Source organism: Homo sapiens, chromosome 15 (assembly GCF_000001405.40).
Source record: "Homo sapiens chromosome 15, GRCh38.p14 Primary Assembly".
Lineage (NCBI taxonomy): Eukaryota > Metazoa > Chordata > Mammalia > Primates > Hominidae > Homo > Homo sapiens.
In genome coordinates this window covers 35,214,649-35,239,050 of record NC_000015.10, presented here as the reverse complement: position 1 = coordinate 35,239,050, position 24,402 = coordinate 35,214,649, and the positions used below count along the sequence as shown (strand labels likewise).

The window sequence follows — 24,402 nt, the reverse complement described above, 5'->3', positions numbered from 1 at the left end:
CCGTGTGAAGAGACCACCAAACAGGCTTTGTGTGAGCAACATGGCTGTTTATTTCACCTGGGTGCAGGCGGGCTGAGTCCGAAAAGAGAGTCAGCAAAGGGAGATAAGGGTGGGGCCGTTTTATAGGATTTGGGAAGGTAATGGAAAATTACAGTCAAAGAGGGTTGTTCTCTGGTGGGCAGGGGCAGGGGTCACAAGGTGCTCAGTAGGGGAGCTTCTGAGCCAGGAGAAGGAAATTCACAGGGTTAATCACTCAGTTAAAGTGGGGCAGGAACACATCACAATGGTGGAATGTCATCAGTTAAGGCGGGGCAGGGCCTTTTCACTTCTTTTGTGATTCTTCAGTTACTTCAGGCCATCTGGGTGTGTATGTGCAAATCACAGGGGATGCGATGGCTTGGCTTGGGCTAAGAGGCCTGACAGTATTAAGTGACGGAATTGCATAGGCAACATAGTCTTTTCCCAAATTTCCAAGAAGAGAAAGAGAACCACAGAAACATGAAAGCTTTGCCCAAAATAATCTCATTACTAAATTGTAGATGTGGGAATTGGCTCCCCAAGTGTGGCTGGGTTCTCAGTAGCATTTGCTCCTGAAGGTGGTGTACTATTTGCATAGCTAATTAAAGCAGGATGCATATTGAAATGCCTTAATAAAACATTGCCCAGTAGTGAGGAAGACAACTACTCCCGATAAAGTGATTTTGTAAGCAGGAAATAGTTCTTGCCATACTGTTCCTGACAGCAAGACTTCATTTACTGCTTAATGGTCATTTTTTTTTTTTTGGCAGTAAAAATAGTATTTTATTCCACCCCCACCCGCCCTCCCTCTCCCTGCAACCCCCAGTACACCTTTCCCCTCTCGTTCCCACAGCAACGTTACAATCAGAAAAAAAAATAAGTTTCAGGGGGCAGGATTGGAGCGGGGGAGGGGATATGGGTAAAAACAGTCAAATCACAATAGGAATTTTTCAAAATAGGTTATTCCACTTAGTCATCATCTTCTCCCTCATCTTCAGGTTCTCCTTTTCGCTTCTGACCCCTTTCTTCTTCACGGAGCTCTTCTTCATCTTCCTCATCATCAACCTCTCCATCGTTATAACCTTTTTCATCCTCCTCCTCCTCTCCACTCACGTCCTCCTCTTCACCTTCCTCCTCCTCCTCGTCCTCCACTACCTGAGCATCTTCGTCATACTCCTCCTCATCCTCATCCTCCTCCTCCTCCTCCAGGCCCTCCACGTAGCCCTCAGCATCCAAGTTAGGGGCCTCCTTGTCGTCCCGGTCATAGCCGTCAAGATATGTGAGTTGCAGGAGGAGCTTGAACACATTTTCTCGGTAGTCGTTCAGGTTGGTTACCTCGCAATTGAAAAGGTCTAAGCTCTTGAGGTTTTCTAAGTTTTTCAGTGGCTCTGTTGTGCTGAGGTCTTTAATTTTGTTGCCACATAAATTTAGATGCGTGAGGTTCGGACACTTTTCTGCCAATGCTTCCACGCCCCCCGAGACTCTGTTATCGCTTAGTTCAAGCTTCTTAAGTTTGTTTAACTTCGGTAAGTTTGCAGTTGAGGTGAGGCCTACGTTGGTTGCACTGAAGAATTCCAGTTATTCAGATTCATCTGTGAGGCCTTCGAGTTTGCCTTCATTCGACCGACTGTTGTCCAGGACAAGTTCTTTCACATCAGAGGGCGTCCTGTTCCGCAGCTCTAAATGAATCCGTCTGCCCATCTTCATCTCTCGCGTTCTCTGCAGAGGCTCCCGCGCCGCTGGAATTCAATCAATAACACGGCCGCGCGTTTTAGCACTTTCAAGGCTCAACCAGCTCCGCTCAGTTCTCGAGCCCCCAGCACCCCCGGCACACGCTAACCTCAATGGTCATTCTTTTAATGCTGAATTTTTAAATAAGGAAACTGGGAGAGGTTTTTGTAAAGATTACCATCAAGTAAAATTGTAGAGGAAAACCCAATACCTAAGCAAAACAATGCCTATGTGCATGCATTCCAACCCAAGAAAAACAGTCATGATGTACAGTATAAAACTTCCTTCAACAACTCACCAGATTATGTAATGGAGATGAGCCACTTATCTATCGACTTTATCAACTAGGAACAAAAATATCTATCGACTAGGAACAAAAATAGTGTTTATTAACAGAATACATTAAAAGTGTCATAGAAAGCAGTATGTAAGAGCCCCAGTCTTAAGAATATTGAGTAACTAAATAACTTCCAGATTACAGATTGAATTAAAGCAATTATTCTTACTGGTGATGATCTAAACTAATCAGATCATACTGGTTTACAGGTCCACAAAAAGGATATCAAAATCATGGTCAGATTACCATTAGGATACATATAAATAGTAGATACCTGATTACCAATAACACTTGAAGTTTTCTTTTTTTCTTTTTTTTTTTTTTGAGATGGAGTCTCTGTCTCTGTCGCCCAGGCTGGAGTGCAGTGGCGCGATCTGGGCTCACTGCAAGCTCCACCTCCCAGGTTCACACCATTCTCCTGCCTCAGCCTCCCGAGTAGCTGGGACTACAGGCGCCCGCCAACACGCCCGGCTAATTTTTTTGTATTTTTAGTAGAGACGGGGTTTCACCGTGTTAGCCCGGATGGTCTCGATCTCCTGACCTCGTGATCTGCCTGCCTCAGCCTCCCAAAGTGCTGGGATTACAGGCGTGAGCCACCGCGCCCAGCCAACACTTGAGGTTTTCTAACATGTGATTACAATAAGGCAAATTCCTTTAAGGGGTTTCATGGCCTATACTTGTTACTTTTTAACTATACTAAATTATTCCTATCTGAAAAACTTCACCAAAATTCAGTTTGATGCTTCTTACTTTTTGACTACTTATATGGACCTAGATATCAACTTTACAAAATGAAATAATTATTTTTCCATGAGTATATAATGCTGACTTAATATGGCAGATATCTGGTACCTCATATTTATGCATATGAGAGTAAGAACATAAAATTTAATGCCAGAAACATGCATGGTTCTATCTAAATACTTGATTAGAAAGCTCTTTGTTCTTCAATTCCATCTTATCACACATTAAACTAAACATGTGGTGGCATTATTTCAATATATTATTAGTCCATGTTCTCTTTTGTTTCTTTTTTAACTAAGAAAATACTCATAACACAAATTAAACTTTGAAAGCACAATGAGTAGTTTCTAAGTTGAATATTCTCCAACTGCAGTACACTTTCTTGCATCTCAGATAGCAAATCTACCACAGTATATATAGCACACTGTGAGAAAGAATAATATTGTAAGCAGAGACCTTGATATATAGGAATTCAAGTATTTGAGAAAGAACCCTCCATTTTCAAAAGCTAAAATCTGGAAGACTATAAGTTTTTATGAATTTGAAATTTTAAAACAGTGTATATTTTGGGAAACACACACTCAAAACTGAATTTTTGGTAGGAAGAGCCTGAAACTGCAGTGCAATCAGGCTCTCTCTATTCTCTCTGGATTACATTGAATACTTTCATAATTGCATTTTTTGAAAGTACAATATCCACTAGTGAAATTCAGAGGTGAATAGAGCATTTATTCTCTGAGTTCTAATATTTTTATTGGATTTTTTTGCCAAGTAATCGACCTGTGCACACACATTGAGGAGACTGTCTTAAGCTAGGAGATGAAGACTTGTATGCAAGTGTTTATAAACGAAGGTCAGGACAGGAAAGAGAAGGAAGCCTGGCACAGTGCAGCCTCAGACAAAAGTTGTCTTGCATGGGAACTCTGGAATATACTTTATACCACAAGGTTGTCCAAACCAAGGAAAGGGAACTGGACTTTCCTACCCCTGGACTAGACAGTCATTGGAAAACTCCCAGGCTCTCTTTCACTTGTGGCCCAAGTGGCTCCAGTAGCTAAAGGGAGTGTGGCTGTTATACCAAAGGGAAGTGAATGCCCGGAAATGGTAAAAGGGCTTCTGGACAGAGCACTGACAACATCTCCTAAAGGTTGTTTCCCAGATACCAGAGATAGAAGTAGAGCCTGACTGAAGACCTATGTTTTCCTTGATATCAGTTAAGAATATTTTGATTTCAGCATACAGAAATGGAATGATCTCTTTTCAGATGTAGCTTGATCCAGTGTTCACACATTTTATCTCTCAATTCTACTTCCTCTGGATTTACTCCATCCTGATAGGACATTCCAGTAGCTCCAGTTTCTCTCCTCATTGCCATAAGCTGTTCCAAGCTTCATATACCCATACCACCAAGCACCAAGCCAGTACAAAATAGAGAATCCATATCCAATTTTCCCAACAAAAATACTGAATTACTTGCATTGATACAGTTTAGATCACATGCCCAATCCTATTTTAGTTGACAAGGCCAAGAAATGCAATGTTTTCATTGGCTTAAGCCAGCTGTTACATGCCCATTCCTAAATTTGGCTTAAGTCTATGAGTGGAGTCAATATTATTCAAATGTCATAGTTTGGGTGTTGTTAATATTAAATAGGAAAAAGAAAGTACAATTATAAGAAATTAACAAATAGCCACTGATCTCTTGTTCTTATTGTAAATTTTGATTTGTTGTATTCTGAATCTAATTTATTTCAAGCTGTAGACATGGTAATGTTTGAGCTAAATTGTGAACCCAGTTGGAACTAGCAGAGTTGGTTTGAGTGGAAGGAGAAACAAAGAATGCTCAGAAGTTAGGTTGTGGTATGTGAAGCATGGGATATACCACCACCACCACCTTATCACCCCACACCTGCACACAAACAAAAGAGGCCTTACTATCATGCTTACCTTGTTGGAACAGAAGTTTGCCATTAAATGCAGTTTTTTAAATTAGATGTCTCAGGAATTTGCTACAGGCTCAATCTGGGGCAAGCCAGAAGAATCAGCCTTAGTTACTTAGATGTATGACTACTTCCTAGCCATTTCTTCATGCATTCACTCAACAAATAGTAAGTACCCCATATATACCAGGTACTTTTCTAAATATTGGAAGTACAATGGTGAACTAAACATAGCAGGTTCCTCCTGTGGGGGGTTGGGGGCCATACACGATAACAAACAGGCAAACAAATAAACAGAGTATCTTTTGAGAGTGATAAATACTATAAAATAAATAAAACAATGAATTTAAAGTCAGGGAAGCAGAGCATTTATCTGAAAGGTGATGTTTGAGTGGAGATTTGATTGACAAGAAGCCAGCCATGCAAAGATCTGCATTAAAGACAATGAAAATATTAAGTACGACTGCAAGAAGTAGGAATAAACTCAGTACATTAGAGAATAGAGGAAAAAGGCTAGTGGCTGGAGTGTGGAGAGTGATGAGGGGTGAGGTGGGTGCAGTCAGAGAGGACATAGTGCCAGACCCATGTCCAAGACCTTTGTGCTTGTCTATAAGGGAAGTTATAGTGTTTGGCTTGAGGTGAACTTCAAATTCCTGCTGTCTTTATTCTTCAGCTGTTCCCAGGGAAGAAACCAGGGTTCTTTAGGCCACTGGAGCATTCCACAAAGCCCTGAGAAAGTCTTAATGATTCCTTTTGCACAACTAATTTTCTTTTATTGATTTTGTAACAGTGTACCTTAATTTTTTCTTATTCTAGAACCTGTACAAGCTTATAAAATCCAAGATTTTTAATTTTTATAACAACAAAAAGAATTTGTGCCATTTTGTCTTTTGTCCCACACTTAATAAAATACAATGGAGATTGTTTTATGTCTGTACATGTAGTACCCCTTCATTTATTTATTTACTTTTGATACAGAGTTTTGCTCTTGTTGCCTAGGCTGGAGTGCAATGGGGCGATCTTGGCTCACTGAAATCTCCATATCCCATGTTCAAGTGATTCTACTGCCTCAGATTCCCGAGTAGCTGGGATTACAGGTGCCCGCCACCACACCTTTCTAATTTTTTTTATTTTTAGTAGAGACGGGGTTTCACCACATTGGCCAGGCTGGTCTCAAACTGCTGACCTCAAGTGATCCCCCCACCGCAGCCTCCCAAAATGCTGAGATTACAGGCATGAGCCACCACGGCCAGTCCCTTCATTCTTTTTCATGGTTGCATGGTTTTTCATTGATGGGTGTATACTTTATTTTGCTAATTGTCTGTTGATGAATATCTAGATTCTTTTTAGTATTTTACTATTGTAAGCATTTCTGCAGTTGAACATTATTGTACAAATGTCTTTGCATTCTCTTGCAACTATTTTTGTAGGATAAGTTTTCCATAATGGAATTGCTGAGTATGAGAATTAAGATAAATATTGCTAGGCTGCCTGTGAAAATGTTATACCATACTCCTCCCATGCTTGGCAAATACTAGAACCTATCAATCTTTTTTATTTTTGCAAATGTGATAGAAAAAAGTGTTGCAGAAGTTCTTATTTTAGTTACCTATAGAATCTTGGAGTGTTTCCCTTCATGCCTTGGATATATATATATTGTTGTTGTTTGTTTGTTTGTTTTTGTTTTTGTTTTTGTTTTTGACACGGAGTATTGCTCTGTCACCTGGGCTAGAGTGCAGTGGTGCGGTCTCAGCTCACTGCAACCTCTGCCTCCCGGGTTCAAATGATTTTCCTGCCTCAGCCTCCTGAGTAGCTGAGATTACAGGCACCCACCATCACACCCGGCTTATATTTTGTATTTTTAGTGGAGACAGGGTTTCACCATGTTGGCCAGGATGGTCTTGAACTCCTGACCTCATGATCCACCCGCCTTGGCCTCCCAAAGTGTTGAGATTACAGGCATGAGCCACCGCGCCTGGCCTTGCCTTGAATATTTTAACTCCAGGTTCTGTGTCAATTATTAGTGATCACAATATCCTTCCAAGGTAGACAAGGCTGTCTTTCCAACACTTGACCTACTCTTTTTCATCCAAAGACACTAAATCTCTTGGTCATATACTGAGCCAATACATTGAGCCTTGTCATTACGAATAACAGCAAGCCCTCCATAATCTCATTTTGAGCACCTCACTCCCTGATTGCTACCTCCTGTCTTTCCAGTTCACTCCCAGTAATACTGATACAGTTTGGATGTTTGTTCCCCAAAATTTCAAGTTGAAAAGTGATCCCCAATCTTTGAAGTACAGCTTAGTGGAGAGTATTTGAGTCATGGGGGCAGATCGCTCATGAATAGCTTGGTGCCTACCCGTGGTAATGAGTGAGTTCTTACTCTGTTTGCTCCTGCGAGATCATGAGATTGAATTGTTTCAAAGACCCTGGCACCTCCTCCCCTCACTCTTGCTCCCTCTCTCACCATGTGACATGCTGGCTCCTCTTCCCTGCCACCATAAGTAAAAACTTCCTGAGGCCTCACCAGAAGCCGAGCCGATGCTGGCACCATGCTTCCTGTACAGCTTGCAGAACTAAGCCAAGTAAATCTCTTATTCATAAATTACCCTGCCTCAAGTATTCCTTAATAGCAACACAAAACAGACTAATACAAGTGCTGTGATTACAGAGATGGGTGGAGCAAGATGGCAGAAAAGAAAGCTCCACTGATTGTCCACCCGCAACAAGGACACCAATTTAACAACTTTCTACACACAAAAAAAGCACCTTTGTATGAACCAAAAATCAGATGAGAACTCACAGTACCTGGTTTTAACTCTATATCACTGGAAGAGGCACTGAAGAGGTAGAAGAAATAGTCTTGGATGGCCCATGCCACCCCCCTTCCATTTCCCGGAAGCAGCAGCATGGTGCAGAGAATATTTCTGTGCCCTGAGGAGAGGGAGAGCCAGCAATTGTAAGGCATTGAACTCAGTGCTGCCATTATTATAGCAAAAAGCAAAACCAGACCAAACTCAGTTGACACCCACCCAAGGAGGGAGCATTTAAACGAGCCCTATTTAGAGGGGAATTGCAGATCCCACTGATGGGAACTCCAATTCCTGCAAGCCTCATCACCACAGTCTACAGTGCTCTGGGGCTCCAAATAAACTTGAAAGGCAGTCTAGGCCACTAGGACTGCAACACCTAGGTGAGTCCTAGTGCCGAAATGAGCCCACAGACAGTAGACTGGAGGGGACATGTGACCTACTGAGATACCAGCTGGGACAGCTAAGGGAGTACGGGCATCACCCCGCCCCTAAACCCAGGCTGCACAGCTCACAGATCCAATAGAGACCTCTTCTTTCAACTTGAGGAGAGGAGATGGAAAAGTGGGGAGGACATTATTTTGTATCTTGGATACCAGCTCAGCCACAGCAGGATAGGACACCATTCAGAGTCTTGAACTCCCTTTGCAGGCCCTAGCTTCAGGACATTTCTAGACACACCTTGGGACATAAGGAAATCTGCTGCTTTAAAGGGAAGGGCTCAGTCCTGGCAGGATTCATCACCTGCTAACTGAAGATCCCTTGAGCCCTGAATAACCAGCAGCAATACCCAGGTACTATGTTGAGGGCCTTGGGTGAGATTCTGAGACTTGCTGGTTTCATGGGAGACTCAGCACATTCCCAGTTGTGACTACAGGGCAAGACTTCTTCTCTTTGATAAAAGTGGGACTTTGTCTTGCACCTTGGATCCCGGCTCAGCCACAGTTGGGTAGAGCATCAAGCAGACTCTTGGGGCTCCCAGGACTCCAGGACTTCGCTTTTGGATGGCATTTTTGGACCTGCCCTGGGCCAGAAGGGGAGCCCACTCCCCTGAGAGGTGAGTCCTAGGGCAGGCAGCATTCACCACAAGCTAACTGAAGAGCCCTTGGGCCTTAAGGGAACATTGGTGGTAGTCTGGCACTATACCTTGTGGGTCTGAGGTAGTGATGGCCACAAGGTGAGGCTCCTCTGCCTTTGGAAAGGGGAAGGAAGAGTGGAAAGGGTTGTGTCTTGTGATTTGAGTGCCAGCTCAGCTGCAGTATAGTAGAACACCAGGTGGGCTTCTAAGGTTTTTGACAGTAGTCCCTGGCTCCCAGATGACGCCTCTGGACCTGCCTGGGGCCTAGGGGAACTCGCCACCCTGAAGAAAAGGACACAGTCCTGATTGTAGAGCCCCAGGGCTTCGAGTGACCATAGGTGGTAGCCAGGGAGTGGTTGCAGCAGGCCTGGGTGAGACTCAGTGCTGTGTTGGCTTCAGGTCTGACCCAGTACAGTCCCAGGGGTAGTGACCACAAGGATTCCTGTGTCACTCCATCCCCAGCTCCAGGTGGCTCAAAACAGAGAGGAAGAGACTCCATTTGTTTGAGAGAAAGTAAGGGAAGAGAACAAAGAGTTTTTATCTGGTAATCCAGAGAATTCTCCTGGATCTTGTCCAGTCAAGGCAGTATACCTCTACAAGTCTGCAAGAACCACAGTTTACCGAGCTTTGGGTGCCAAAAAGCAGATACAGGTTAGATCACAACACCCAAGTCCTTTCAAATATCCGGAAAGCCTTCTAAAGAACTATGGATACAAACAAGCCTGGACTATGAAGACTATAATAAATACCTAATTCTTCAATGCCCAGACACAGACAAACATCTATAAATATCAAGATGATCCAGGAAAACATGACCTCACCAAATGAGCTAAATAAAACACCAGGAATCAACACTAGAGAAACAGAGATATGTGACCTTTCAGACAGAAAATTCAAAATAGCTGTTTTTAGGAAACTCAAAGAAATTCAAGATATCACAGAGAAGGAATTTGGAATTCTATCAGCTAAATTTAACAAATAGATTGAAATAATTTAAAAGAATCAAGCAGAAATTCTAGAGTTGAAAATGCAATTGGCATACTGAAGAATACATCCGAGTCTTTTAATAGCAGAATTGATCAAGCAGAAGAAAGAATTAGTGAACTTGAAGACAGTCTATTTGAAAATACATAGAAAAGAAAAAAGAAAACAAAACAATGAAGCAAACCTACAAGATCGAGAAAATAGCCTCAAAACAGCAAATTTAAGAGTAATTGGCCTTAAAGAGGAGGTAGGGAAATCGATAGGGATAGAATATTCAAAGCAATAATAACAGAGAATTTTTCAAACATAGGGGAAGATATCAATATCCAAGTACAAGAAAGTTATAGAACACCCAGAAGATTTAACCCAAGGAAGACTACCTCAGGGCATTTAATAATCAAACTTTCAAAGGTCAAGGATAAAGAAAAGGCCCTAAAAGCAGCAAGAGAAAAGAACCAAATAACATACTATGGAGCTCCACTATGCCTGGAGCAGACTTTCAGGGAAACCTTACAGGCCAGGAGAGAGTGGCATGACATATTTAAAGTGCTAAAAACTTTTACCCTGGAATAATATATCCAACAAAATTATCCTTCCAACATGAAGGAAAGATAAAGACTTTTCCAGGCAAACAAAAGATGAGGAATTTCATCAACACAAGACCTGTTCTACAAGAAATGCTAAAGGGAGTATTTCAATCAGAAAGAAAAGGGCGTTAATGAGCAATAAGAAATTATCTGATGGTATAAAACTCACTGGTTCAGCCTGGGCAACATGCTGAAACCCCGTCTCTACAAAAATACAAAAATTAGCCAGGCATAGTGGCACGTGTCTGTGGTCCCAGCTACTTGGTGGCTGAGGTGGGACAATTCCTTGAGCCCAGAGGGTCAAGGCTATGGTGAGCTGAAATTGTGCCACTGCACTCCAGCCTAGGTGACAGAAAACACACTGTCTCCAAACAAAACAAAACAAAAACCACCTCACTGGTAATAGTAAGTACACAGAAAAACACAGAATATTATAACACTGTAACTGTAGTGTATAAACTACTCGTATCCTACGTAGAAAGACTAAACAATGAACCAATCTAAAATAATGACTACAACAACTTTTCAAGACATGGGCAGTACAATAACATATAAACAGTAATAATAAAAAGTTTAAAAGTTGGGGGACACTTTTTAACTTTTAAGGTGCAGGGTCTTTATTATTTCTTTTTGTTTGTTTGTTTATGCAAACAATGTTGGTCTACACTATAGACCAAATGGATCTAACAGATATTTACAGAACATTTCATTGAATGACTGCAGAATACACATTATTTTCTTTAGAACATGAATCTTTCTAAAGGAAAAACCATATATTAGGTCATAAAATAAGTCTTAAAACATTCAAAAAATTGAAAAAATAGCAAGCATCTTCTGTGACCACAATGGAATAAAACTAGAAGTCAATAATGAGAAATTTTGGAAACTATACAAATACATGAAAATTAAACAATATGCTCACAAATGATCAATGGGTCAATAAGGAAATTAAGAAGAAAATTGAAAAATTTTTTGAAACAAATGGTAATGGAAATACATCATACCAAAACGTATGAGATACAGCAAAAATGGTACTAAGAGAGAAGTTTATATCTATAAATGCCTACATCAAAAAAAAGATGAAAAACCAAATAAACATCCTAACAATGTATCTTAAAAACTAGAAAAGCCAGAGCAAACCAAAACCAAACTTAGTAGAAGAAAAAAAAAATCAGAACAGAAATACATGATTTTGAAATGAAGAAAATAATACAAAAGATCAATAAAACAAAAAGTTGGTTTTTGGAAAAATAAAATTGACAAACCTTTAGCCAGACTAAGGAAAAAAAATGAGAAGAGCCAAATAAAATCAGAGATGAAAAAGAAGATGTTAGGCCAGGCACGGTGGCTCACACCTGTAATCCCAGCACTTTGGGAGGCCGAGATGGGTGGATCATGAGGTCAGGAGGTTGAGACCATCCTGGCTAACACGGTGAAACCCTATCTCTACTAAAAATACAAAAAATTAGCCGGGTGTGGTGGCGGGCGCCTGTAGTCCCAGCTACTGGGGAGACTGAGGCAGGAGAATGGCATGAACCCGGGAGGCGGAGCTTGCAGTGAGCCGAGATCGCGCCTCTGCACTCCAGCCTGGGTGACAGAGCAAGACTCCATCTCAAAAAAAAAAAAAAAAAAAAAAAAAAAGAAGATGTTATAACTGATATTGCAGAAATTGAAAGGTTCATTAGTGGCTACTATGAGCAACTACATGCCAATAAATTGGAAAATCTAAAAGAAACGGACAAATTTCCAGCACATACAACCTACCAAGATTGAAACAGGAAGAAATCCAAAACCTGAGCAGACCTATAACAAGTGACAAGATGAAAACCATAATGAAAAGTCTCCCAGTAAAGAAAAGCCCAGACAGAACCTAATGGCTTCACTGCTGATTTCTACCAAACATTTAAAGAGCTGATACCAATCCTACTTAAAGTATTCCAAAAAATAGATGAGGAGGGAATACTTCCAAACTCATTCTATGAGCCAGTATTACCCTGATACCAAAACCAGACAAAACTGGTATTTTGATCAGTATTGCGTTCAACCTGTAGATTGCTTTGGGTAGTCTGAACATTTTAACTGTATTCATTCTTCCAATCCATGAACATGGAATATCTTTCCATTTTTTGTGACCTTTTCAAGTTTTTTCATCAGTGTTTTGTAGTTTTCATTGCAGAGGTCTTTCACCTCTTCAGTTAATTCCTAGGTATTTAATTTTATTTGTAGCTATTGTAAATGTATCCCAGGTTTCTTCAGTCCAAGGATAGCTTTTTCCACTAAACATGAGACCATTTTGATGATGATATGCCATTTTGACTTGTACCAATAAGGCTTTCCATACAACTATAGTTGTGCTGCACTTTTCTTTACCTATTTTTTTTAAATGTATGTGGAAACTTTCCTCTATTACCACTCCCAAATAACAGCTAACTAGTGAATTAATTTATTTTTGTTACCTTACGTATGTAAAGACTGAGTAAAGGTATTTATTAGTATAAGGGGAAAAGCAGTTCGGAGAACTATACAGAGACAAAGTATTTTAGCTGAAAAAATAAAGCTATCACCATACTACACTAATATGCCTGTTCCAGATTGCAGAAAACCGAATAGATACATGAACATTTACAGCTATTCCTGATGGTTCTGTTATTTCTATAATAATATTTTTATTTTTATTTATTTATTTATTTTTTGTGATGAGATATTACTGTGTTGCCCAGGCTGGAGTGCAGTGACTATTCACAGGCATTGTCATCGCACACTATGGCTTCAGAAGCCTGGACTCAAGCAGTCTTCCTGCCTTAGCCTCCCAAGTAGCTGCTACTATAGGCACATGCCACCATGCCCAGCAATAAATCATTTTTAATATAGGTACAAATGAGACAGGTTAAAATCACAAATAAAAAATATTTTTGACAATCGTATGATTTTTCTAAGCCATTAGGTAGAACAATTCAAGATACTTTGCTGAAGTAACTCCTCTCAGGTATTTAAATTTAAGAAAAGTCAAATTTTCAAATTATACCTCCTCATGTTATAATCTTAGTTCAAAGATAAGTAAATCATTGTGGTAACACACCAGTGACAGCAAGCACACCTAGTACCTGGATCTTTGTTTCAAAATACGATAGCTTAATAGAAAAAATCTGGACTTTTTGAAGAAATGGCTGATTCTGTATCTGGGGCAGAGAAGATACAATATGAGCCTGAAGTATGTTATAGTGTCTGAAAGTAAGGAAGTACTCAAAAAAATAAAAGGCTAGAGACATCAAGTAGACAGAAAGCCATCCTGAACACGTCTCCAATGGCCAAAGCTATAACAATTTTAGCAACAAAATTTAAAGTATAAAAACCATATACATAACTTTATTATACTGATATAAATAATCCCCTACCATCAAGTGTTGATTGGACTTAGTGACTTCCTTACAAATAATAGAGCATGAAAGGAGAGGAATAACATCTTTATAGTAAACAAATCTGATAAACAGCACCTTAATCAAATGATCAAGATTAACATCACCAGTAATAGGTTATTTTTATTGCACATACCCCATTATAGGATGTGATGAGAAGGACATTTCACCTCTGTGGTATTCTTACCCAAATCCTGTAATTCTGATCTAATCCTGAGTATCAGATAAACTCAGATTGAGAGACAAAATGCCTTACCAGTGCACCTTAAAACTGTCAAGGTAATGGAAAATGAAGAAAGACTGAGAAACTGTCATAGACCAGAGGAAACTAAGGAGACATATGGCTGAATGCAATGTGTTATCCTGGATGGGATCCTGAAACAAAAGGGAGACATTAATAGAAATACTAATGAAATATGAATAAAATCTGGAGTTTAGTGACTGACAGTGTATCAACGTTGGTATCTTAGTCTTGACAAGTATACCACGGTAATTTAAGATGTTAACATTGGGGAGATTGGTTGAGTGGTACACAGGAATTCTCTGTATTACCTGTGTGACTTTTCTGTAAATATAAATTTACTTCAAAGTACAAAGTGTCCTTAAAAATCTATTAAATCCACTACACACCTATTAGAACAGCAAAATTCAAAACACTGACAATACCACATGCTGGTGAGAATATGGAACAAGAGGAACTCTCATTCATTGCTGGTGGAAATACAAAATGGCACAGCCACTCTAGAAGACAGTTTAGCAGTTTTATACAAAACTGAATATATTCTTAACATAAGATCCAGCGACTGTGCTCCTTGGTATTTACCCAAATAAGTTGAAACTTACATTTATTAAAAAACCAATACATGAATGTTCGTAGCAGCTTTATTCATAATTGCTAAACATTTGAAGCAACCAAGATGTCCTTCATTAGATGAGTGGATGAACAAACTTTAGTACATCCATCCAACGGAATATTATTCAAAGCTAAAATCAGGCCAGGCGTGGTGGCTCATGCCTGTAATCCCAGCACTTTGGGAGGCCGTGGCAGGCGGATCACTTGAGGTCAGGAGTCTGAGACTAGCCTGGCCAACATGATGAAACCCCGTCTCTACTAAAAATACAAAAATTAGCTGGGCATGGTGGTGGGTGCCTGTGATCCTAGCTACTCTGGAGACTGAGGCAGGAGAATCGCTTTAACCCAGGAGGTGGAGGTTGCAGTGAGCTGAGATCACACCACTGCACTCTAGCCTGGGTGACAGAGCAACACTTGGTCTCAAAAAAAAAAAAAAAAAAAAAAAACTAAAATCATGCCACAGAAAGACTGGATGAGCCTTAAGTGCATATTGCTAATTAAAAGAAGATTATCTGAAAAGGCTACATGCTATATGGTTCTATGACATTCTGAAAAGAGACAAAACTATGGAGACAGTAAAGAGATAAGTGGTTGCCAGGATTTCCAGAAGAGGGAATGAGGGATGAATAGGTGGAGCGTGGGGGATTTTTAAGGCAGTTACGTTATTCTGTAAGAAACTGTAATAGTGGGTACATTTCATTATGCATTAGTTAAAACTCACAGAAAGTTCAACACAAAGGGTGAAACTATAATATAAACTATATACTTTAATTAATAATAATTTATTAATATTGGTTCATTGCTATAGTGTAAATGTTTGTCCCCTCCAAAATTATGACAAATTTGATTGCTTTTTTTTTTGAGACGGAGTTTTGCTCTGTCGCCCAGGCTGGAGTGCAGTGGCGCGATCTCCGCTCACTGCAAGCTCCGCCTCCCAGGTTCACGCCATTCTCCTGCCTCAGCCTCCCGAGTAGCTGGGACTACAGGCGTCCACCACCGTGCCTGGTTAATTTTTTGTATTTTTAGTAGAGACGGGGTTTCACCTTCTTAGCCAGGGTGGTCTCCATCTCCTGACCTCGTGATCCACCAGCCTTGGCCTCCCAAAGTGCAGGGATTACAGGCGTAAGCTAGGGCACCCGGCCTTCATTGCTATTATAATGTCATTGGGAGGTGGGAGTTTTAAGAGATGATGAGTCCATTAGAGCTCCACCCTCATCAATGGACAAATGCTGTTTTCCTGAGAGTGAGTTCACTATCAGGAGAGTAGATTTGCCTTTCTTGCTCGTTTTCTTGCCCTCTTTTTGCTCTTCTACCATGTGATGCCTTCCATCATAGCATGATGCAGCAAGAAGGCCTTTGCAAGATTCTGGCCTTTTAATCTTAGACTTCCCAGCCTCCAAAACTGTAAACTAATACATTTCCATTCATTATAAATTACCCAGTCAAGTACCCTGTTATAGCAGCACAAAGCAAACTAAGAAAAGTGGTACTAGAGAGTGGAGAGTTGTTATAACTTGTTACAACTGTGAAATGGAATAAGTCTTTGGACGCCAAAATCGCCAAGCCAGAGGGAAGAGTCAAGCTGGGAACTGCCTCAGGCAAACTTGCCTCCCATTTGATTCCTAAATAAGATAGCTACGAAGATTAAAAAGCTACTTACCTGCCTCACAATTTGCCCACAAGGAAATTCCTTGTGGGCCTCAAGATCTTTACCCTGAAACAGTTGAATTTCACCCTGGCAATGTAAATTGATAGTTTATCTTCACAGGTACAGGACAAAAGAGAGAACTCAAAGTCATCCCTCTGCTCACCTGAGACAAATGCGTATCTGATTGCTTCCTCTTCCCTATTGTTTATGTAAAAATGCAGATTCACTGAGCCAGACTAAGACATAAGTGACTTTTTCTGTACCCCAGTTCATATGTGAATTGTGTATTCAGTGAAAGGCTAGTCAAAGACTCAAAAGAATGCAACCATTTCTCATCTACCGATGACCTGAAACCCCCCCCTTCAAGTTGTCCTACCCTTCCAGACCAAACCACTGTACATTTTACATGTATTGGTTGATGTCTCATGTCTCCCTAAAATGTATAAAACCAAGCTGTACCCTGATCATCTTGTTTGGGCACATGTCATCAGGACCTCATGAGACTGTGCCAAGGGCATGTTCTTAACCCTGACAAAATAAATGTTCTAAATTGATTGAAACCTGTCTCAAATACTTTTGGTTCACATAACAAATTATGGAAGTGACTTTGGAACTGAGTAATGGGTAGCAGGTAGAACAGTTTTGAAATTAATGCTGGAAAAAGCCTATATTGTCATGAATTGAGCATTGTGGGTAATTCTGCTGAATTGTTTCTACATGGCTCAGAAGAAGAGAGCTGTGGGGAAAGTCTGAAACTTCTTAGAGATTATGTAAGTGTTCATGATCAGAATATTGATAGAAATGTTAACAGTAAAAGCAATTCTAATGAACTCTCAGAAATGAGAAACAAGGTATTGGAAACTAGAGTTAAGGCCATCCTTATTATAAGTGGCAAAGAACTTGGCTGAATTGTGTCCATGGCCCAGGGCTTTATGGAAGGCAGAATTTAAGAGCCATGAACCAGGATATCTGACAGAAGAAATTTCTAAGCAAAATATTGAGGGTGCTGCATGGCTTCTTTCAACTGCACATAGTAAAATGTCAGAAAAGAGAAGTGATTTAAAGATGGAATTTATAATTAATTAAAAAGAAAGCAGAATGTAACCACTTGGAAAAATTGACACCTGGCCATATAAAGAATTAAAAAGCTTGCTTGGGAGAGAATACCAACGGGGTAGCCAAGCTACCCTTTGATAATGGGATTAGTATGGATAGAAGGAAGCCAAGTGCTATTCATCAAGACAATGGGAGAACAACCCAAAGGCATTTAGGAGATCTTCCAGGATGTCTTTCCCATCTAGGACCTTAAGGGCAAAACCAGTGGTCCTGCTACCTCTCTCAGGAACATACAGACCCATAATGGTCCACATGGTGATAACTCTGCAGACACAGAGTGCATGAGCTTGGTACTATGGTGGCCTTCACCTAGGATACCTCAGAGACCCTTGAGACCCAGGCTGAGAATTGTCACAGGAGTGGAGCCACTGCAGAGAGTTCCCACCAGGGCAGTACTTAGTGGAGCCATGGGGGTGCGGCCTCTGCAGAAAGTCCCTGTCAGGGAAGTTCTTAGTGGAGCCATGGGAATAGGGCCACCCCTAAGACCCCAGAACTATAGAACCACCAACAGGTAGCCCCAGCAATTCAACCTGTGATAGCTGCTGCATGAGCAGAGCCCAGCAAAGCCATAGGGGTGGGACTGCCTGAGGCCTAGGGGGCCCAACGCCTACCCTAGTGTGTTCAGGAGGCAGGACATGGAGTCAAGAAAGATTACTCTGGAGTCTTATGATTTAATGTTGTTTACTCTTTTCCCCCTTTTGGAATATGAATGTTCATCTTTTGCCTGTTCCGCCTTGGTGTTTTGGAAGCTTGTAGCATGTTTTGATTTCACAGGCTCACAGCTGGAGAGGAATTTGCCTTATGATGAATTGTGCCTTTAATCTCACCCACAGATGATTTAGATGAGACTTTGGACTTAGACTTTTGAGTTGATGCTGGAATGAGTTAAGACTTTGAGAGCTGTTGGGTTGAAACGAATGTATAAGTTTTGGGAGGCTAGAGGTGGAATACTTCAAAAAAATTTTTTTTTCAATACTGCCCCTTGTGTTGGTGGTAGAATACTATGTTTTGAATGGTTGTCCTTTCCAGAGTCATGTTGAAATTTAATTACCATTGCAACAGTTTTGGGAGATAGGATCTGTAATAATTAATTAGACCAGGATGAGTCCACCCTTATGAATGAACTAATGCTATTATTGCAGAAGTGGCTTTACCCCACTCTTGTTCACTCCTGTCTCCTGCCTCTTTGCCCTTTCACAGTGTGATGCCTACCAACATGTTATGATGCAGCAAGAAGGCTCTCACCAGATGGTGGCATCTTTATAGTGGACTTTTCAGCCTCCAGAACTGTGAGTTCATTCATGAGGGTGGAGTCATCATGGTCTAATTAATTATTACAGATCCTACTATGAGCCAATTCATTTCTGTTCTTAATAAATTACTCAGTCTGTAGTATTCTGTTACAGCAGCATAAAACAGGCTAAGACACTCATCAGTTGTAACAAATCTACTACACTAATCCAAAATATTAATAGAGGAAACTGTGGGGAGAGGTTGGGAGGTGATGTGGGACCTCTTGGTATTTCCCACTCAACTTTTCTGTAAACGTAAAACTGCCCTCCCAAAATAGTCTATTTTTAAAAAATAAAAGTAGTCAAAAATCTAAAAGAAAAAAATTATAGTAGACAGAGATATATGATATCACAAGTATAGTAAAATGTTAATAGTGGTAGTGTATGTGGATGTTCCTTATTATACTCTGCTTTGTGTTTGACATTTTTCATAATAAATGTGTAACAAAGTCATTGTGGGTAATATTAAAAGAAAGCTTAGCATAGTAAGGTTCAGTTGAACCTGTGGGACTTAATTCTAATTCCATTATGGATTTCTCATATGATTCTACTAAAAAATGTAACTTGATTTAACTACTTGAATTACTTATCTAAATTATGAAACCCAGTTGGCCCTGTCTTCAGAAACTAGAATCCAGATAAAATTACCTATTGTTTGTGATGTTAACATGTATTATCCCATCAGCAGAAGAATCTGAGCAGTGCATTGTAGTTTTTTTAAACAATATTGATGATATGGTAGTAGAAACTGAACAGCTACTCCCTGGACTTTGTCAATGTACTTGTTATGACTTAGCACTGTTTTATTTACCATCCAAAAACATATTTTTTATTACTCACTGCAACATGACAATAATTCCAGTTTTGAGTGGTGTATATTTCTCATTATGAATCTAAATACACAGAACGTTTGCTCTGTTTTCAGTCACTAGGCTGCGTGAAAATGGTGTATTAAAAATAGTCTGACATATTTGCATATTTATCTGTATTAAAAGCGTCATGAAACAGTTATTGCAGATACACAGCTGTTGCTTTTCAACTATTTTTTAAAGGAACCATATCTGCTCTCCTATATAAAATACATACATTTTCAAAAGTATCGTCTGAGCCAAATGAATTTCAAAGCCTTAAAGAGGAAAGCTTATCTCAGAGAATTATAAATTTTTAGTCACTGTGTCTAAATGATAAATTTTTAACCTAAAATGATAAACTTGTTCCTTTGCCAAGTCAGATATTATGCATTGTAAACAGAAAGTAATTCTGGAAGCTCCTACAAATTATGGCTGCATTTCAGCATAGAGGCTGTTTACCTACTCTACAGAGCACATAAAAGGATGCTGCTTTATATCAACCACATTACGGAAGAGAAGACTACACTTTGTGACTTAAAATGACAGTTGCTCTTGTAATGTAAAGAAATTTTTATTTTAAGAGCATTTTTAAAATATCTTCATGAAAGACAATAGTATCATCTTTCTTTTCAATTAAAAAGAAAACTGTATGCCTCTGGAATCCTAGCTACTATCATCTTAGTAGTTGCCAGAAAAGGACCCTGATTTAAAAACAATTCTAGTGACTTTCATTATTTTTTAAGGATTTCAATATGGACTCTCTTGGTGTAAGAAAACATACATTTTTTTTCAATTCTGTGATCATATCAGGTTCAGTTGATTGTCATATAATTCAAATAAACACCAGACGTTCTCATTTTAGTATCTTAATTACACTGCTTGTTTTGTTTTAATTAAAAAAAAAAGCTTTAAGCATAGTTGAACAAAAGATCTCACGTTTCATAATTCAGTTTCACCATGTTAGCTAAATAAGAGAGTCCAAAGAAGAGAGGATTATCATATGTTAAATAAAAAGTTGGCCACTTTGTAGCATTAATCCTATTAGAAAAAGATAATTTCTGTCTAACTTAATCAGTAAGAAGTCTTTATTGCCCTGAGTATTAATTGATTAGGTTCTCATTAAGGTCAAAAGTACACTTGACTGACCACAGGCAGCCAATTAGCAAATTGTCAGCCATGCTTACTTATATTGACTGAACATAATGGTAGTTATTTGACTGTCAAGTCAGAAGGTCACTGAATCTTTTGTGCACTTTGCCCTCTGAAAGGGCAACAGTCATTCAGACCCCAGAATGCATTCATAACAAAGATTTAGCTTATTACTTATTGACTTAAATCACCCTTAGAAAAAGGTGTTTCGTTCTCTTTGAACAAATACTATGTTATTTCTTTGTAAAATACTTGAAGTTTGGTTGAAATCCTGTGGTTGATTGTGTCTGAGGATTTTTGTTCAGCAAGCAGCTTGCACTTGAAACTCTAAATAGCTTTTTAAAGAGCAGATCGATCCAATGACTACAGTTGGCCCTCTGTATCTGTGGGTTCTGCATCTGTGGATTCAACCGAGGACTGAAAATATTTGAAAAAAAATGTTGTGTCTGTACCAAGCACGTACAGACTTTATTCTTGTGATTACTCAGTAAAAAAAATACAGTATAACAACTATTTACATAGCATTTACTTTGCATTAAGTATTATAAGTCATCGAGAGATGACTTAAAACATACAGGGAGGATGTGTGTATGCCATTTTATATCAGGGACATGAGCATTCTCAGATTTTGGTATTCAAGAGAGACTCTGGAACCATTCCCCCACTGACACCAAGAAAGAACTGTATATCCCTTTGCAATATAAACTTTTCTCCTGCTATGTGGCTTTGCTCTAATTGTAGAAAGTTGGGCACACAGTTGCTGAAATGGCTCTGGGACACCAGTCTCAAAGTTAACGGTTAGAACCATATTTGAGGCTCACATTAATAAGGACATTGGTGGCCGGGTGCAGTGGCTCACACCTGTAATCCCAGCACTTTGGGAGGCCAAGGCGGGTGGATCGCCTGAGGTCAGGAGTTCAAGACCAGCCTGGCCAACATAGTGAAACCCCATCTCTACTAAAAATACAAAAATTAGCCGGGCGTGGTGGCAGGTGTCTGTAATCCCAGCTACTTGGGAGGCTGAGGCAGGAGAATCGCTTGAACCCGGGAGGCAGAGGTTGCAATGAGCCGAGATCCGCCATTGCACTCCAGCCTGGGCAACAAGAGCAAAACTCCGTCTCAAAAAAATAAAAAATAAATAAAAAATAAGGACATTGGTATGCCTTCTAAATATCCACTGCTGACATAGGAGATTGGATATTTGCTGCCAATCACAGGAGAAATGAAAATGCAAGGTTATCTAATCTAAACCTAAATTTTTGCTTATACTTCAAGTGATTTTTCTCATCATAAAGCATTGCACCTAATTTATATGGTGGTGATGTAACTAGTTACATTTGTTAGCATTTTATTTTTAAAAATTTTTTCTATTTGTCCTCCTCTACTTAACATTATTATCACTTACATTTGCTATTATTGATTCAAATATCACTGATGATTCCATGAGTTAGATTTTAAGGAGAAAATACTTTTGTTTAGCACACCAGTTTTACAAGTTGTGTCTCTAGATCAAATAGAAACCCATGAGTCAGCCTAGGTCCTTTCCTTTACATTCTGTCCTCCCCAAATATACATCTCATCTAGAATCACATGCCATCAGTTCTACTTACTGAATATTGCCAGTAGATATAAGGGCCCTCTATGTCAACCCACTGCCATTGCCCCAGTTCAGCAACTTGTTTTTTGATTGATCAATTGTGGTACCTTTTTACTGGTTTTTCCAAGTGATTCAATGGCCCTCTTGGCATGACTGTCTTCCCACTAGACTATTTATTCAGAGTAGGAATGGTGTATTTTCATATTAAATATCTAGCAAAGAGTTCAGTGCTCAGCACATATAGGCACTTGGTAAAAATTTACTGATTAAATAAGTAAATGACCATAATTAGTTTTATGCTACATGTAACTGTAACCTGTGATAGAATAATTTGTTATAATTTAAGAACTCATTAATCTCTTTACTAGTATTAAATTATTCATTAGTAATTTATCAGACTATTGTAAGAAGCAATAAGTTTTAATTCAGTCATGTGACTAAACCAATAGCATTGAATATGAAAATAAAGTGAGAGTCAGAGTTGAAGAAAAAATTACTGTTATAATTCATGAATAATTAAGCTACCAAGTATATAAAGAAAACAAATCTATATACTATCAAAACATCTGCTTTGTTTGTGAGATCGTATGGTTTTCAAATGATTCAACATTAGAGATTAACAGTGACTATTGGTATATTGTCTGCAAAATACTAAGCATTCTATATACAGACAGCATAATTGTCATTTCACAGATAAGAAAACTGGTTTCACAGGGTAACCTGTCCAAAGGCCCACAACCCAGGTCTTGCTGGCTCTAAAATTCAAGCTCTATCTACCATGCTAATCTGACTCTAACTTTGCATTATTCTTTAGAATTTTGGAAAAGCTATTTAACTCTCTGAAACTGTACTAACTTTGCTGAAACTGTACTAAATGTACAGAAACTTTCATATCCAATGTTGGATCAAGTACTAGAGCCAAAGATAAGAAAGATGCCTATGGAAATTAAAAGTAATATGACTTAGTAGTTAAGACTGCACAGGCACTGCCATCAAACATCCTTATAATTGTGTCCCAGGTTTGCCGTGTCCCACCTGTGAAACCTTGAGTGATTTACTTGACTTCTCCAAGTTCCAGTGCACTTGTCGTTAAAATAGGTATAATAATAGTGCCGACAGTGGCTTTGTGAGAATCAAATGAAATTATGCAGGTAAAATGCCTAGCGCATTAAATGGCATATGATAATGGCTCAGTAAATGGTAGCTGTTGTTAAAGATTTTCAGCTGGGTGTAGTGGCTAGCACCTGTAATCCAAGGCAGGAAGATTACTTGAAGCCAGGAGTTTAAGACCAGCCTGGCCAACAAATCAAGACTCCATCTCTACAAAAAAAAATTTTTTTTAATTAGCTGGGTGTGGTTGTGCACGCCTGTGTTCCCAGCTACTTGGGAGGCTGAGACGGGAGTAAGAGCCCAAGAGTTTGATGCTGCAGTGAGCAGTGATCACACCACTGTACCCCAGCCTGGGCAACTGAGTGACACCCTGTCTCTAAAAAAAAGATTTTCCACCAAAATAAATAGTTTAGGTTATATGTACTTCCTTATTCTATGTTAAATCTGTGTGTTCTGGTATTGCATACTTTTATGAGTCATATATTACTCTGACATCTAGACAATCATCTGTTCATAAATTCAAGTTAAAGATAAGTTATATAAATATTTGTTAGGGACTCTTGACTCTGACATTCTCTACCAAGTGGGCAAGTGGCACAGAGAGTATCTTGTGCATTTGCCCACTTGGTAGGTAAGTCAACTGTTCCTCTTCCCTCATGATGCTTCTTAAACATGCCATAAAAGGCACTAATGGTAAACTATTTGGTGAATTATTGCACAAGATGGTGTTATGATAATTCACATACTCAATTCACAGGTGGAGCAGAGGGCTGGCCTAATCTGACTTTCATGTTACAAGGATCACTCAGGTACTGGGTTGAGCATAGATTCTTGCGAGAGTAGAAGCAGATGGACCGATTAAGAAGTTGTATCCAGGGCCAAGCGTGGTGGCTCACACCTGTAATCCTAGCACTTTGGGAGGCTGAGGCAGCTGGATCACCTGAGGTCAGGAGTTCGAGACAAGCCTGGCCAACATGGTGAAACCCCATCTCTACTAAAAATACAAAAAATTAGCCGGATGTGGTGGTGATGCCTGTAATCCCAGCTACTCGGTAGTCTGAGGCAGGAGAATCACTTGAACCCGTGAGGCGGAGGTTGCAGTGAGCTGAGATCGTGCCGCTGCACTCCAGCTTGG

At 39.6% G+C, this 24,402-nt stretch overlaps 1 protein-coding gene and 1 pseudogene across 4 annotated transcripts in view; one reads left to right on the top strand and one right to left on the bottom strand.

The window, feature by feature from the left end:
• The window catches only part of DPH6 (diphthamine biosynthesis 6), a 401,189-nt gene that overhangs the window by 307,115 nt on the left and 69,672 nt on the right, over nucleotides 1-24,402 (top strand). For 2 of the 3 annotated variants that reach the window (XR_001751412.3, XM_017022708.3), the window contains one exon: nucleotides 18,469-20,281. The exons of the other annotated variant lie outside the window; for it this stretch is intronic. Coding sequence is in view for 1 of the 2 variants with exons in the window: in XM_017022708.3 (XP_016878197.1) it covers nucleotides 18,469-18,534 (66 nt within the window). In the remaining variant the exon portion in view is untranslated. Of the gene's footprint in view, nucleotides 1-18,468; nucleotides 20,282-24,402 lie in introns of those variants that run through there. 3 annotated transcript variants of the gene reach the window in all.
• ANP32AP1 (acidic nuclear phosphoprotein 32 family member A pseudogene 1) lies at nucleotides 854-1,901 on the bottom strand (annotated as a pseudogene). Its single transcript, NR_003144.2, has one exon. The product of NR_003144.2 is annotated as an acidic nuclear phosphoprotein 32 family member A pseudogene 1 (transcript).